The sequence below is a fragment of the Homo sapiens genome, chromosome 2 (genome assembly GCF_000001405.40).
Source record: "Homo sapiens chromosome 2, GRCh38.p14 Primary Assembly".
NCBI lineage: Eukaryota > Metazoa > Chordata > Mammalia > Primates > Hominidae > Homo > Homo sapiens.
In genome coordinates, this window is record NC_000002.12 from 219660255 (window position 1) to 219676906 (window position 16652).

The window sequence follows — 16652 nt, forward strand, 5'->3', positions numbered from 1 at the left end:
TCCGATCACCTCCCACCAGGTCCCTCTCTTGACACATGGGGATTACAATTCTAGATGAGATTTAGGTGGGGACACAGAGCCAAACCATATCAGCAAGACCCTGTCTCTACAAAAAATTTAAAAATTAGCTGAGTGTGGTGGTGTGTGCCTGTGGTCCTAGCTACTGTGAGTCAATTAAACCTCTTTTCCTCATAAAGGTAGGAGGAGAGACTGAGGTGGGAGAATCACTTGAGCCCAGTAATTTGAGGCTGCATGAGCCATGATTGTGCCACTGCATTCTAGCATTTCTCAAAAGAAAGGAAGAAGGAAGGAAAGAAAGAAAGAAAGAAAGAAAGAAAGAAAGAAAGAAAGAAAGAAAAAAGTTGAGTCCCTTAGTTGCACTAGCCACGTTTCAAGTGCTCAATTGCCACAGGTGGCCTGTAGCTATTGTATTGCACAGCACAGGTAGAAAGCATCATTCCAGAAAGTTCCATTGCACAGTGCTGCCTTAAGGACTTTAAACTGTCTGGAGAGCTCTTTCCAAAGATATCCACTTGGCAAACTCCCTCAACTCCTGAATCTTTGCTCATATGTCACTATTTCCATGAGGCCCACACTGACCACTCAATTTAAAATCTCAACCCACAGCCCAGCTCCCCACTGCAAGCATTCCTGCTCCCTTGCTCTGCTCACTTTTTTTCTATAGCACTTAACACCTTATAGTGTCTTATACAATATAATCATTTATCACACTCCCTGGTTACTATCAGGCTCCCCCCATGAAAATGTATTCTCCACTAACTGAGGGTTTTTTGGGTCAATTTTGTCCACTGTTGTATCCCCAGCACCTAGAAGAGTTCCTGGCACAGAGTGAGCACTCACCAAATATTGTCAGAAGAGTTAGTTAATGGATCAACACATTTATTGGGCACCTGCTATCTTCCAAGCTCTTTGCTAGACACTGGGTATTGCAGAAAATCAGGAGGGCAAGAGAGACCTCAGGGTACACAGGAGGATCTTTTATTAAGTGTCCTCAGACCCAGTGGACTCAACGTCCAAAGACTGGACCCTGAACAAAGACAAGGTTTTGCTTATATACCCACTCCTAAGTGGCACGAACACGAATGTACAGAGGCAAGACAAAGGCCATTAATCAAACTAAGGCAGGCTCATAACTCAGGTTCAGTATACTCCTTACTATGCAGCCCAGATGGTCATTATCTGGTTAGTTCAAAGGAGTTTCACAAAGACTCATCTTGCAACCCCCACCATGGTGTCTAGCTGGCTGCAAGCTAGACCTGCTCAGGCATGTCTGGTAACCTTTGCTATACTGCTTAGGTGAAGAAGCAGGAACCTACAATCATTAACTATGGGAAAAACAGGAACTCATAAAATTTACAGAGCAAGGAGCAAGGTATAGTCACATAGTAGAGGGGATGGGATTCGAGGGGAAGTTTACTTACACTAAAGGGGAGCTAGGAAAACTTATCTCTTCACATCGTTATGTTGAGGGAGAACTAGGAGAGTCTTCAGAGCACATTCCTTTGAGCTCTGGCCCTTAGATAACATTATCAAAACGTTGCCTGTTACTGCCTTTGAAATGAGTCAGCCTAATACAGGCAGCTTGTTTTTTCTCTTTTTTAATTTCTATTTTTCTTTCTTTCTTTAATTTTTCCCACCTCACGGGGATTCACAGAAAAATTATAGAGAAATTGTTCCCACCTTTATGGAGTTTCTATTCTAGGGGGAGAAACAAGTAAACAAGTACCTCATGCAAATTCTGGAAAGTCCTACGAAAGAAACAAATAAGGAGCAGAAGTAGAGAAGTGTGTGTGTGTGTGTGTGTGTGTGTGGAGTGAGGGTGCTGGGTAGGGAGGCTGTGATGAAGTCAGGCAAGCTTTGTAAGGAAGTACAAGTATTGAAGAGTATTCCAGAGGAAATACTCTCTGTGTGGAGACTCTGATGCCAGCAGGAATGCATGCATGGGTGAGGGAATGCTGCTCAGAGGTGACTGGTGAATCAGAATCATCATAGATCAGTCACCAAGTGGGGGCTGCCTTCTGTGGCAGTGCTACCTGAACTGTAGTCTTGAACCAGAAGCATTGCATCATCTGGGATCTTGTTAGAAATGCAAATTCATAAGCCAATTCTAGCCCTGAGAATCTGTGTTTTCCCAAGCCCTCCAGGTAATTCTGATGTGCCCTGTTCTAGAGCACTGTATCCCTCTATAGAATATAGGCACATGGTGAGTACCCCATAACCATTGCTTGAAGGAATGAATGAATGAATAAAGGAAAGGACAAATATAAACCCCCTCCCTGCCACTCTCCCCCATGCCTGTTCTCCTTCATGTTCTCATACTTTGGTGGAAGCTCAGATGATCATTAGCATGAACACAAAGCCATGCTTTCTTTGTTGAGCCAGAGGGCAATCATTAAGTGCAAGAATGAAGAAGGAAATACCTGAGTGTCACAGGAATTCAGAGATCTAGATTTAGAAAGGAGGATGAAAGGCATTCCTGATGGGGGAAAGCAATGGCTTGAGGCTGGGAGGAGCATGGCTTGACCTGGGGAGAGAAAGAGGTGCCCAGCCAGAATGGGCAGTTTGTGTGAGAGGAAGTGGGGAGTATGCTGGAAGGTGGAGTAGGTCCTGCCTGGGACAGGTCTCTACTGCTGGTGTAGGAAATGCACAGTAGGCAAGGGGAGCTGGTCTCTGAATGCTTTTAAGGAAGATATTGTTACCACTTGCAAGCTATTGGAGTGACAAAATATACAGTGGGCTTGGCATTGTGTAAAGCTGCGGTCCCCAACCTTTTTGGCACCAGCGAACAGTTTTGTGGAAGACAATTTTTCCATGGATGGGCGAATGGTTTCTGGATGAAACTGTTCCACCTCAGATAGTCAGGTATTAGTTAGATTCTCATAAGGAGCATGCAACCTAGATCCCTCGCATGCACAGTTCACAATAGGGTTTACGCTCCTAGGAGAATCTAATGTTGCTGCTGATCTGACAGGAGGTGGAGCTCAGGCGGTAATGCTCGCTGGGCCTGCTGCTCGCCTCCTGCTGTGCAGCCAGGTTCCCAACAGGCCACGGACTGGTGCTAGTCCTCGGCCTGGGGGTTGGGGATCCCTGTTGTAAAGAATACCTTAGCTGTGCATTTCATGTTTGATAAAGCAGGAAGGTACTGTCACCCGCTAGTGCTTTCTATGTGTCACACACTGGTCTAAGCATTTTATATGCACAACGCTCATCTGATCCTCAGAATCCAATGAAACACCTACTCTTTATTACTTGGCCAAGAAGGGGACTGTGGCACAGAGAGGTCAAGTAACTTGCCTAAGATCACCCAGCCAATAAGCGGTAGAGCCCATATTGAACCCCAGCAGTCTGGTTGCTCTACACAAGGCTGCCTCGGCTATCCTGAGTCTAAAAGACCTTGGAAGGCAGTTCTCCACCTTGCTCCTCACCTGTCCCCTTGGAGGCCTTCATGGCTCTTCCTTCCTGGCTCTTTCTTTCTCTTCTCTGGCTCTGTCCTCTTCATGGGTCCCATCACTCCTTCCTTTACCTTATGGTTTCTGTGGTTAGTGTGTCAACCAGTTAGTGTCGGTAGGTGTATTAACCTGTTTTCATGCTGCTGACAAAGACATATCCAAGACTGGGAAGAAAAAGAGGTTTAATTGGATTTACAGTTCCACATGGCTGGGGAGGCCTCAGAATCATGGCAGGAGGTGAAAGGCACTTCTTACTTGGCGGTGGCAAGAGAGAATGAGGAGGAAGCAAAAGCAGAAAACCCTGATAAACCCATCAGATCTCATGAGACTTATCCACTATCATGAGAATAGCACGGGAAAGACAGGCCCCCATGATTCAATTACCTCCCCTTGGGTCCCTCCTACAACAAGTGGGAATTCTGGGAGATACAATTCAAGTTGAGATTTTGGTGGCGACACAGGCTAACCGTATCAGCAGGGAAAATTCTGTTGTGCAAAAGGAGGAGGGAGCTATGGGCGCGGTCCCAGGTCTGGCAGGGGTAGATTTGAATTTTGTGGAGCCTGAAGTTTATACTTAGAGGTCTTCTTTGAGAAAAAGCATACAAAAATGTCTTATTTCTGCAAATTTTACAAAACCATTGACCAGGTGAGTCATGCCTTACCCTACCCAGAGCTCAGGAGGGGCCCTCATTAGCTTCTCAGGAAACCTAACCTTCTTCTGGGCCTGGGACTGGCTTTTCTAGCCACTCAAGGGGGGAAATTCTACAAGATAAGCATCTTTCTCTTGCTAACCCTGAGATCCCCTCAGAGCAAAAGTCAAGTGCATTAGGCCGGGCGCAGTGGCTCATACTTGTAATCCCAGCACTTTGGGAGGCCAAGGTGGGTGGATCACTTGAGGTCAGGAGTTTGAGACCAGCCTGGCCAACATGGTGAAACCCCGCCTTTACTAAAAATACAAAAGTTAGCTGGGTGCGGTGGTGCACGTCTGTAATCCCAGATACTTGGGAGGCTGAGGCACGAGAATCGTTTGAACATGTGGGGTGGAGGTTACAGTGAGCCAAGATCACACCAGCCTGGGTGACAGAGCAAGACTCTGTGTCAAAAAAAAAAGAAAAAACAAAAAAAGCCTAACGCATTAATATGCTCCTGGAATTTCTTTTTGCCACCCCACCAAAGCCTTGGGGTGGCCCTTCTATCACTGTAGCTTGGAAAGGGCAAGAAAACTCCATCTGCCTCATTTAGGAAAGTAGTGGTTTACTAAAGGGCAAGGTGGTAGGGAGAGGGCTCTGCAGTGTTTGAGTCCAGTTAGGACCCCACTGCTGTAAATTGAGATGTGTGAACTGCCTGCTGAAAGAGGAGCTGGTGTTTTCCTGGCTGGGCTCCAGAGGACAGGCTGTCATCGGCTGCAGTGAATGCTCCCAGCTCCTTTCCCTTTGCTGGCTTCGTACTTATTTTAGCCTGTTCTGCACGCATTTTGTAAATACGGTCCAATCAGGGAGTGACCTGGCTTCTGCCTCAGCAAAGCCCTGGATTTTTTTTTTTTTTTAAATGTAAGTAATTTATCAGGTTCAAAGCTAAATAAGAGCTTCTATAAACAGGTCTTTTCCCAGATCACCATTTGGGCTGGCAGGGCCAACCTGCCAGAAATGGGTTCTGGCCTGTCCTTAAGAGGGGGCACAATCAGGGTGGCTTTAGAAATATTAATTGAGAGGTTTCAATAGGATGGCTCCAGCCAGGAGGGGCAGAGAGACAAACCAGTTGGTGGAGGAGAGACCTGAGGATGAGTGGATGAGGGTGAAGTGGGGGAGTTATGGGTGGGGAGAGGGGACTCAAGCCCATGTATTTTCTACCATCATGACCCCCTAGGTGTTTTTTTTTTTTTTTTTTTGAGATGGAGTCTCGCTCTGTCACCCAGTCTGGAGTGCAGTGGCGTGATCTTGGCTCACTGCAACCTCTGCCTCTCGGGTTCAAGCGATTCACCTGCCTCAGCTCCTGAATAGCTGGGTCTACAGGTATGTGCCACCACGCCTAGCTAGTTTTTGTATTTTTAGTAGAGACAGGGTTTCACCATATTGGCCAGGCTGGTCTCGAACTCCTGACCTTGTGATCCGCCTGCCTCGGCCTCCCAAAGTGCTGGGATTACAGGCGTGAGCCACTGCGCCCAGCTGACCCCCTAGGTTTTGAGGAATGAATGTGCCACTCCAAAGAGGGTGACGTATGGTCCCAGCCTGTCTACTGTCAGCTTCACTGTGTGGTCGTCAACTTGTACTGTCAACTTCACCAGGATTCTCCAGGGGCTAACATAGGCATTAAAAGCACTCACTTGATATTCAAATATTCCCTCTTTCCATTTTCTTCTCCCTCTGCCTCAGAGGAAATTGACTGTAAATGGCAACTTCACAGACCGTCCTGAGCTGCACGTTGAAGCTAAGCCAGCAGCCCTGGGATTTACAATCATAACCTCTTGGAATTGAACTATTAACTAATCCAAACACGAGTATATTAAGTCACCAACCCTGGCTTGAGCAATTACCGAAGTCTCTTCAGTCAATAGTTCTAAAATGGTTGGAACTGCTGCCTCTTTAATCAGATCTCAAGCTTCGAGAGGCTGCGTCTCCCTTTTTCCTGAAGGAATTGCAGGGGCCTGAGTGAGATGTTTCCCTCGCTCCTCCCGCCCCAGGAACAATGTGATTAGTTTGAAGCCTGAAGATGGTGAGGCTGAAAATTAAGTGTTAAATGTTCAGGTTTCTTGAAGTCTGTCCAGTTGTTTTAAGAAGTACCATGTTGGCCGGGTGTGGTGTCACACACCTGTAATCCCAGCACTTGAGGAGTCTGAGGCAGGAGGATTGCTTGGGCCCAGGAGTTCAAGACCAGCTTGGGCAATAGAGTGAGACTTTATTTCTACAATTTTTTTTTAATTAGCCGGGCATGTTGGTGTGTGTCTATAGTCCCAGCTACTTGGGAGGCTGAGGCTGAGGTGGGAGGATGGCTTGAGCCCGGGAGGTTGAGGTTGCAGTGAGCTGTGATCACGCCACTGCACTCCAGCCTGGATGATAGAGTGAGACCTTGTCTAAAAAAAAAAAAAGGACCATATTATTTGAACAACAGGAAGCAGAGCAACAGGCAGAGCTCACCTAGAAACAGAGATGATAAGTGAGTTGTAAAGGAAATACTTGTTGAAGGTAACAAGTTAATAAGGCAGATAGGCCTTGAGAGCAGGATTTGTTCTGATCCAGGTCACGGTGCAGTGAATAGTAGTCCTGACTCTGAATGTGTGAGCTTGGCCTGACACATCTCCCTTCTGACTGAGGCTGCTCTTGATCATTGGTTGCTGAAGAGTTGGGGTGGGGGTTGCAGGTGATACATGCACAACGTTAAGCAACATCATGAGAAAGGGATTAATTTTTTTTTTTTAATGCAGGGTCTCGCTCTGTCTCCCAGGCTGGAGTGCAGTGGCTCGATCTCAGCTCACTGCAACCCCCGCCTCCTGGATTCAAGTAATTCTCCTGCCTTAGCCTCCCGAGTAGCTGGGATTCTAGGCGCCTGCCACCAAGCCCGGCTAATTTTTGTATTTTTAGTAGAGACGGGTTTCACCATGTTGGCCAGGATGGTCTCGAACTCCTGGGCTCGAGTGATCCGCCCACCTCAGCCTCAGCCTCCCAAGTAGCTGGTATTACAGATGTGAGCCACCATGCCCGGCCAAAGGATTCTGTTTGGTGCCAGACTGGCTGGGTTGGAATCCTGGCCTTACCATTTAGTATGTAAGTGACCATGAGCAAGTTACTTAATCTCTCCGTGCCTCAGTTTCCACATTTCTCAAGGTAATAAGATTGATACCTGCCTTTTGGTGTTGTCACGAGAGCTGTGCCTGGCACAGTTTTGTGTAAGTGTTTCCTGTTATAATGATGAATTTACTTTTAATTCTGATTTAATAAAGAGAAGATCTCAGTTTGGTGCTAATATGTTTTCAACAACCTCTCTTAGCACTTGCTAATCTCCTTTTAACAGAGAGCAGGGATTAATTTGTGAGAGTTTTTCATTACATTTATTTTTATGGTTATCTCACATTTTGCACTTATATGGCAAGAGAAATTGGTTTTCCCTTTTATAACAGTGACATAAAGTTTTTTTTAGAAAGTAACTTTATTTAAATACAGTGTGAGTTGACTTAAGCAAAAAGTATTAAGAAAATTATAAATCTAAGTGTGATGTGACGAAGGCAAAAATTCTGAAGGTGGGACCCAGGTGACAGAAGTTTGGGAAGCAGTAGACTCCCAATCTCACCTGAAGGAACTTCCAGCGCAAACATCTTTCTTGTTTTTTTTTTGAGACGGAGTCTTGCTCTGTTGCCTGGGCTGGAGTGCAGTGTCGCAATCTCGGCTCACTGCAACCTGCGCCTCCCAGGTTCAAGCTATTCTCCTGCCTCAGCATCCTAAGTAGCTGGGACTACAGGCGCCCGCCACCACGCCCAGCTAATTTTTTGTATTTTTAGTAGAGATGGGGTTTCACCGTGTTAGCCAGGATGGTCTCGATCTCCTGACCTTGTGATCCACCCGCCTCGGCCTTCCAAAGCACTGGGGTTACAGGCGTGAGCTTCCGCGCCCGGCAAAGCATTTTTCGAATGAGGATACCTCTGGGCATTTTTATATTCAGGAAGAAGCTTCAGCAGGAAGCGTCCTCTGGCTTCCGCCCGGCTTCCTTTTGCTCTTCCATCTGTGCACGGCCACAGAGACGAGTCACTGGGTCAGTTGAGTGACTGCCCCATCCCATGGCCGTACGATCCCTGCCCCGTGATACTGCAACCCTCTGACTCTGGGATGGGGGTTCCCAGAAGAAACAGGCAGACTCTTAATCAGTGCATGGCATCTGGGGAGTCACACAACATCAGAGCAATTTAGATCATTTACACCAGTTGTACGCAACGGATGCAGTTTGGTTAAGCCTGAACCCACGACTGGCTTCCCTTCCCAGGCATCAGATACCTTCATGCCTCCTGAATGAGAAAGAAAGCAGGTCTGCCAAGTCTCAGGAAGGCAAAGCGAATGTCAGTAGCTATTTCTATGGAGGGAGGAGACCGGGTGAAATTAGATGAGAGCATAAAGACCGGAGAATGTGTTTTTAAGCACCATGGGCAAATAAATTGAAAAAGATGGAAATGTTAAATTCTGAAAATTTTAATCTGAGTAATTACAGAGAAACAGGTTTGGGGCCCATGTAAGGAAGATTTGGGTAGCATAAGCCAGAAATTAATGGATCATATTGGTGGTTGAAATATAGGCCTTTAATGAGACCCCCAACTGGAGAATCTGTTTCTACAGTTCGGTATCTTGGACCTCCAATTTCAGCTCTCCAAGGGAAACCATCCTGGAGCGGTTTGTGCCAGCTCTGAACAAGTCCTCTCTGAGGACAGGTAGGCTGCGGTCTCCACCAGAATGTCCTTCTTTCCTCCAATGTCCCTATTTGCACCTTTGGTATTCCTGTTACATTGGTCCCTGGGTGAGAAACCTTTGGGGCCACAGTTCAATTTCCCTTCTCTTTCTTTTCTCCACCCAGACAGTTATCAAGTCCTCAAATATTTTCTGTGCGATTACTAATATTACTAAATATTTTCTGTTCTCCATTCACACTGCCCTCTTCTTCAACCAACCCTTCATTCAGTAAATATCAAGTGCCTGATATGTGTTGGAACTCGACTTGTGTCACCTCATGCCTGAATCCTTGATCTGGAGTCCCCATAGAGTTAAGCATAATCAGTGCTCAGGAAGTATTTACTGAATTGATATAAGGGTGTCTCAGTCTTCTCTGTCCTGCTGCAGATGTTTTTTGTTGGCTTAGTGGGGAGATCAAAGCTCTCATGAAACCCTAGTCTAGCGGGAATCCCTAGAACTTCCCTGAAATTGACATCCTCACGGGCCTCAGGCCTGGGGATCCACCCCTAGCCCTTCCCTGTCTTCCCAAAACATCCTAAACTGGGAGTATGAGAGGAGGGCTGGACAGCTGTGGACTTTAATTCATTGAGTGCCCAGATGGTCAAATAAATGAAGGTATGAGTCTGCAAGCAGCTGAGGAGTGGAGTTATCGGTTGCTCACCCAAGATGCTTTGTCTTACCTCTTTGATTTCCAAGCTAATCTATCCCCTGCTTTTTTTCTTTAATCAGTTGACTGTTCAGAGATTCTTTTTGCATTGGGAGGATCTAAGTACATTTATTACTAAAGGTAATTAACAAATCATATGGAAATATTTATGTATTCAAATTCAATCCCTGTGTGAAGAAATACCTTGATGTAAACAGGGTGCTTTATTCTAGATAGACATATTTGTTCCTTGTTCATTGACTACATAATCAGACAATAATGCTGTGGGTGCACATTTGAGTTAGGGGGAAGAAGCCTCTTAACTTTCCATGGTACAATTCTCAGTAGAATCCCCTCCTGGTAAATATTTTTATTCTGGAATAATATGCCATAGTGTTTATAGAAAGATTTCTTATTCAACAGTAAAATGGTTGTATTATTTTGATTGCATTCTTAGTCCTTGGTAATTGTCTCATTTTTCTTTCATAAAAGGAACTCAGACACCTAACACAATTGTACTTCAACACCAATTCAGCTCATTATGAAGAATTCTGCCGATAGAATTCTGTGAGTTGTGAATATCTTCTTTGCCCACATTTAGTTTTCTCAAATCGTCTGTAATTCATGGGTAGCACAGATGTTTCCAGCTGTTGGAAAATGAAGCTTGAAGTTCATGCCGATAAGGAGAAAAATATCTAATTCAAATTCCAAGAATTGTTTGACCTAAATCAATTTCAACTTGAGAAAACGGGGTCAACTCTCTGTACCCCACAAGAATCACCCTGGTGATTAAAAAGTAAATCTTGAAGAATTAAATTATGTTGCTGTTCAGCTTTCATATGCACACTTAGGAAAAAAAACAGAGCATCAAAGGCTGTTGGAATAACTCAATTTAGTGATGATGGCAGAGCGTTGCTGAAAAAGAGCTTTCTAGGCAGCGAGCTTTGCTCGGGGGAACTGCTGCAAACTTCAGTTGGTATCTGAGAGAAAAGGAGAGGTCTTTCAGATGAATAATTTTATGACTTTCAACCACACACATACAGCTTGAATATCAAATTATTTTAAATGAGAACTTCAAAAAGATCCACCTGTCAAATGAATAAAAAGCCCCAAACAGTTGCCTAACAGAACAAAGAGATTTGGATTCAAATGCCAAACAGAGATGGGACGAGGCGAGACTTTATTGTGCCGGCATCCCCAAGACACATGTATGAGTTAGAGTTCACCCTCCGATGGATGTGGGGGTCTCTTCATCCACTTGGGTTGCTATGACAAGATTCTTTGGGATGCGTAATCTATAAACAACAGAAATTTATTTTTCACAGTTCCGGAGGTTGAGAGATCTGAGATCAACAGAAGGGGTGAACAGCTTCCTTATACCTCTTTTATAAGGCCACTAATCCCACCCATGAGAGCTTAATCACCCCCTAAACAGGCCCCATGTCTTAACACATCACATCGTTGATTAGCTTTCAACCTATGAATTTTGCAAGGACACATTCAGGCTATAGTGGGGGGCATTGAGCCTCAGGATTTCAAAGATCATCAAATCCATCCCTCCTTGTTTCGAGAGTGAAAACACAGAGGCCAGAACACAGGTGTCCTGCCAGCTGCAACCCCACCCCACTCAGTGAGTCTAGACACGTTCCACGTTAGCGTTCTCTTGAGTAGCATGGAGAAAAATTAGTGATTGATAAAGTGCTCTGGTCTGTGGGACTAATGAAAGACAATGATTTATGTGTCACTCTTCCTAGATGATATTTGCATTTTAAAGGAGGGCTTCAATACCTTCGGCTCAAAGGAATGAGCTAAGGCAAGGATTTTCAGGCAACTGAATCAGAATGAGAGATTCCTCTCCTATCTTCCCCTCATATGTTTCATATCAAACAAACGAGTATGCATATATCAAGGTATCTACTGAGTGTTGTGGAGAAAGAACTGCCATGGATTGCAAGATTCTAATTCTTGTCCTGCTCTCATTTAAAACAACTTGAATATGATTCACCCATGTAATCCAAAACCACTTGTACCCCTAATGCTACTGAAATACAATTTTTAAAAAACCAATTTGATATTCAAGCAGGATGTATACACTTGAAAACCTTAAAATTATTCCTTTGAAAAGGTCTGCCACCCAAGGACCCACATGTGACCCGGGTATCTGATGTGGTTTTGCTGTGTCCGCACCCAAATCTCATCTCGAATTGTAATCCCCACTTGTCAGGGGGAGGTACTTGATCAGGGAGGTGATTGGATCATGGGGGCAGATTTTCCCCATGCTGTTCTCGTGATAGTGAGTAAGTTCTTATGAGATTTGATGGTTTAAAAGTGTGGCACTTCCCCGCTTGCTCTGTCTCTCCTGCCGCCTTGTGAAAAAGGTGCCTGCTTCCCCTTTGCCTTCCTCCATGATTGTAAGTTTTCTGGGGCCTCCCTAGCCAGGCGGAACTGTGAGTCAATTAAACCTCTTTTCTTTATAAATTACCCAGTTTCAGGTAGTTTTTTATAGCAGTGTGGGAATGGACTAATACAAAATCCAAGTTGATCTTCAGGAAGCTAGGCACAGGGATATTTGCCCTGGATTTCTTCTCTCTCAGGGAAGTTGTGAGCAAGATATAGGCTCATGAAAGTGCAAATGCTCTGTAAATTGGGATCTGAGATGGGGGTTCTGATTTTCATCAGCTGGGATGGAGTGCTGCTTTTGCCAACAGCAATGTCTCTGCCGCCCAGTGGCCACCTTGGCTGGCTTACTCAGTCTCCAGTCTGCCCCTAAATTTTGGCGGCCTGGAGTGCAACATGACCCCAGGGGAGGAGGGGTGCCTAAGGGATTCATGGTGGCCATGCAGGTCAGTTCCTCCCCACTAGCGCCCAGACCATGGGTCCTCTGGGAAAGCACCTGAAGCCCCCCCACTCTCACTGGCCCAAGAAAAATGACAGGTTTTGTCTTTCTGCCTCTCTTCCATGCTTCTCTTTTATCTGATTCCTCTGATCTCTATTCTCCAGTACTGTATGTCTATTCTCCCATTCTGCCTTATCATTTGCTGGTCTTTAAAAATTTATATAAGGTCCTCATTAGAATTTAAAAATGTTTCTGCTGGGTGTGGTGGCACACACCTGTAATCCCAGCACTTTGGGAGGCAGAGGTGGGTGAATTGCTTGAGCCCAGGAGTTCGAGACCAGCCTGGGCAACATGGCAAAACCAAAAAATACAAAAATTACCTGGGCATGGTGGCATGCACATATAGTATAGTCCTAGCTATGCAGGAGGCTGAGGTGGGAGGATCACTTGAGCCTGGGTAGTAAAGGCTGCAGTGAGCTGAGATCATGCCTCTGCATTCCAGCCTGGGCAATAAAGTAAGACCCTGTCTAGGAGAAAAAAAAAAATTAAACATTTTTTCTTCATGTAGATTCCGTACATTTCTTATTAGGTGTATCTGTATGTAGCCTTTTTGTTTGTTTTTACTTTTTTGAATTGCTACCTTTTTTTTTTGAGACAGTGTCTTGCTTTGTTGCCCAGGCTGGAGTGCAGTGGTGCGATCTTTGCTCACTGCATCCTCCACCTCCTGTGTTCAAGCGATTCTCGTGCCTCAGCTTTTCGAGTAGCTGGGATTACAGGTGTCTGCCACCACGCCCAGCTAATTTTTGTATTTTTAGTAGAGACAGGGTTTTGTCATGTTGGCCAGGCTGGTCTTGAACTCCTGACCTCAGGTGATCCGCCCACCTCAGCCTCCCAAAGTGCTGGGATTACAGGTGTGAGCCACAGCTCCCAGCTGATTGCGGCTTTTTAAATGGGATTTTTTTCTTTCATTTTATTTTCCAATCAGTTGTGTGTATGTAGCAAGCTATTGACTCTCATACATACATTTTTATAGCTAGCCATCTTATCGAATTATCCTATTGATTTTAACAGTTTTGTTTTTGTTTTTGTTTTAACTCTATTCTCTTTGGTTTTCCAGGTGTAGAGTCAAAACTAGTTGCAAATAATTATAATATTATCTTCTCTGTTATGTTTATGACTTTTATTCTCCCATGGCAATGGTGAGTTTCAGTGCTGAACATGGACATTTCCTGTCTTCTTGGGTTTTCCATTTGGTTTCTTCTGAGAATTCTGCTTCTCTGATTTTGTTTATGATTTGGGATATTGAACCTGAGTTCTGACCTGGGCTCTCACTGGTTCTGGGGAGTGAAGGTCAGGGGCTCAGAGGATCCTTAGAATTGGGGGTCCACAAGGCTGGTGGACTGTTTAATCCTCTCCTCCACGTCCACAACTCATATCCCTGTCCCATCGTCCCTCCTCCTTCCTGGTGCTTCCTCCAGCTTGACTTGTAGTCTTGGGAGCTTAGCAAGTTGATTTTAGGGAAAGGAAAACCAAGAAAGGAATGGTTACAAAACTCTAGGATTATTTCAATGGATGGATTTTATAATTAGAGAAATACACTGTGGATGTATTTCTAAGTATATTTTTGCATTAAAAAATACAACTCAAGCACTATTAGGTGCCATGAACAGAAATCAAACTCAAGCCAGCTTACATTTGGAAAAGGCAAATTCATTGACTCCTATCACCAAGCTGCAGGAAGCCTGGGTTGTTGCTTAACTTACTCTCATCCCTGCTTCCTTTGAGGACTGACTTAACTCTCAGGCTGGCCAGTACCCTAAAGTTGGTACCACGGTGTGGGCAGCTCTGGGGCTGCCATCTTAATTCTAAGCACCTGAATTGCTTATCTCATTTAATCCATGACATGAACCTATGAGGTGGGTCTTGTTATCCCCATTTTACAGATGAAGAAATGGAGCCTCAGTGAGGACCCTTCCCAAGTTCACAAAGCTGGTAAAGAACTTTGGGATCTGGAGTCAACTCTGATTGAAGAGCTTGGGCTTTTAGCCCTGTGCATTCTCCTGCCCCTCCTCTTGAGAGCAGAGAGAAAAGAGCTCTTCCCACTCACTCCAGTTGGGCTGGAATGGGCTCAGATTGGCCTGGTCGTTTGCCTATCCCTGGGCCAATTACTGATGTCAAAGGGATCAGTCTCTAGGATTAGCCCAGCCAGGGCTATAGAGAACCAAATGGAAGTAGAGCTCTTTCCCAAATGAAGCGGGGGTGTTGTTCTGGGAAGGCGAAATAATAAATGGCCCCTACAACTCCCAAGCCCAAACCCTCCACTCTAGGTAGACCAGCTATTTCAATGCTCTGGGAACAAGTCAGGCACATTCCTGCCTCCCCATCTTTGTGCCTGTCATTCCTTCTCTCCGAAATGCCCTTTTCTCCTACATCCTGGGTCGAATGTCCCTTCTTTTTGTGTGTCATACCTTTCTTTAGGTAGCATCAAGCTTCCTCCTTTCTCCTGAGTTTTGGGGAGTAGCTCTACAGATTTTTCCCACTATTTGATTGATGAAAAGGTAGTTTTATTTTCCAAAGGTAAAAAAGGAACAGCTTCCTCTACTGACTTTTCTATGATCTTGCTCTCCCCTTCGAACTTTCCAGCTGATGGAACTTTGCTGGGAAAAAAAAGCAGCTCAAGGTGCCTGTGCCAAGATATTAGCATATACTGCCCCAGGCAAAGACACCGCTGGCATGCTCCATCTGTTTTTGCCAAGTTCTGTTATGTAAGTGACAGCTGAGGGTATCTTTTAAGAAGCGTAGTGTTTGTGAATGATGTGTCTTAATAGAGGAACAATGAGACACACTGGCATGCACAGCGTGCTTTGTGGGAGCAGGTTTTTTGCTGGAGGGTAATTTGGAGGGGAAAAGATGTTCAGGAGGAATAGCAGTTAAGGTGGGGTGGTGGGTAATAGTGACAAGAGGGTTCTTTTCATTTGTGAAGGGCTGCCTGTGGGCTGAGCCTCCTCTGGGCATCTCTCTTGGGGCAGGGCAAACACACTCTTGAGAATCAACTGTGAGGAGTTTGCTGGAGTCCCCAGCACCTGCTCTTCTCCCACCCAAGTTAGAGACCAGTCCATGTTTAGCCCCCTGGGGACTCTAGATATTATCTCTAAGCTTGGAAGCAAGGAATTCACTTGGCCAGTGTGGTGGTTGTAAAACATAGCTCCTAGATTCTTTGGCACTTTTCCTATCTGGGATGGAGTCTATGACCTTTCCTCTTGATTCTGCTTTGGCCAATAGAGTATGGTGGAAGGGCTAAGACTGAAAAGGCCATGTGGCTTCCCCTTGGTGCTCTGATAGTGTTTGCTTTCTAGAGACCCCTTCTCAGAAAGCCTTCTCTCTAACTCAACTGCCATGTTGTGAAAAGCCGAATCCACGTGGAGAGGCCATGTATAGGTGTTCTGGCTAGTCCTTAGGCCATCCCAGCCCAGGCACTAGACCTGTGAGTGCAGAAGCCACCTTGGAAGCCCCAGACATCGTGGAGAAGAGAAGAACCATCCCCACTGTACCTGAATCCCCACAGGAATTAGGAACAAAATAAAATGGTGGTTGTTTTCTGTCACAAAGTCTTGGGGATACAACAAAGATGACGGAAACAGTCAGAGTCTCTTGATGTCAGCTATAACCGAGGGTCCCAGAACCCCCTTCAGCTTTCTAGTGCCAGAGAGTCAGGAGTTGTGTGATGTTCTGGGTAGAGTGGGGTTCTTTGCAGGGAACTGGGATCCCGGGACATCTGATATTATTTCGTAAGGGCTTCTAATGCATATAAAAACGATGCCATCTTGTCCAGGAGCGTTTTCCCAGCTTGGAGTCTGCTTCGCTTCCCATGACATTTGGGCACTCTGCCGTACCCTATCAGCCTTGATGGAAAATTCCAATGGACCTTTTTCTCTACAGATGTATTTATTCTCTAAGAAGCAAGTTCCAGCACCCCATGCACAGGGTTTGCCAACCATCTGGAAGGTTTGATCTCAATACCTTTCTTCCTCCTGCCATATTGTTTATCTCCTGGTCACTGAGTGTGATACTGAGTTTACGGAAGCTTGAGGGATTTCTGCCAGCCAGGGAATCAATAAGTAGTGGTTGAGTGATTATGCTTTCTAAAGGCTTGTGGAGGAAAGGAAGAACTATATGACTCAGTCCATTCTCTCAAGAGCCACAAACATGTAAAGTAAAATAGTACAAAGATTATAATATTTCCAGCATTTATATAGCACTCTTATCTAAGA

The 16652-nt window shown here is 45.2% G+C and overlaps 3 annotated features.

The window, feature by feature from the left end:
• Positions 1773 to 1940: a transcriptional cis regulatory region, noted in NCBI's record as "candidate enhancer chr2.6714 targeted for multiplex CRISPR interference". NCBI's record gives its function as "positively regulates CHPF gene expression with high confidence in K562 cells {active_cell/tissue: K562}" and the evidence as "EXISTENCE:mutant phenotype evidence [ECO:0000015][PMID:30612741]".
• Positions 3032 to 3565: an enhancer, noted in NCBI's record as "H3K27ac-H3K4me1 hESC enhancer chr2:220528008-220528541 (GRCh37/hg19 assembly coordinates)". NCBI's record gives its function as "activates a minimal SCP1, AML or CMV promoter by ChIP-STARR-seq in naive H9 embryonic stem cells {active_cell/tissue: H9 hESC(naive)}" and the evidence as "EXISTENCE:reporter gene assay evidence [ECO:0000049][PMID:30033119]".
• Positions 12331 to 12831: an enhancer, noted in NCBI's record as "H3K4me1 hESC enhancer chr2:220537307-220537807 (GRCh37/hg19 assembly coordinates)". NCBI's record gives its function as "activates a minimal SCP1, AML or CMV promoter by ChIP-STARR-seq in naive H9 embryonic stem cells {active_cell/tissue: H9 hESC(naive)}" and the evidence as "EXISTENCE:reporter gene assay evidence [ECO:0000049][PMID:30033119]".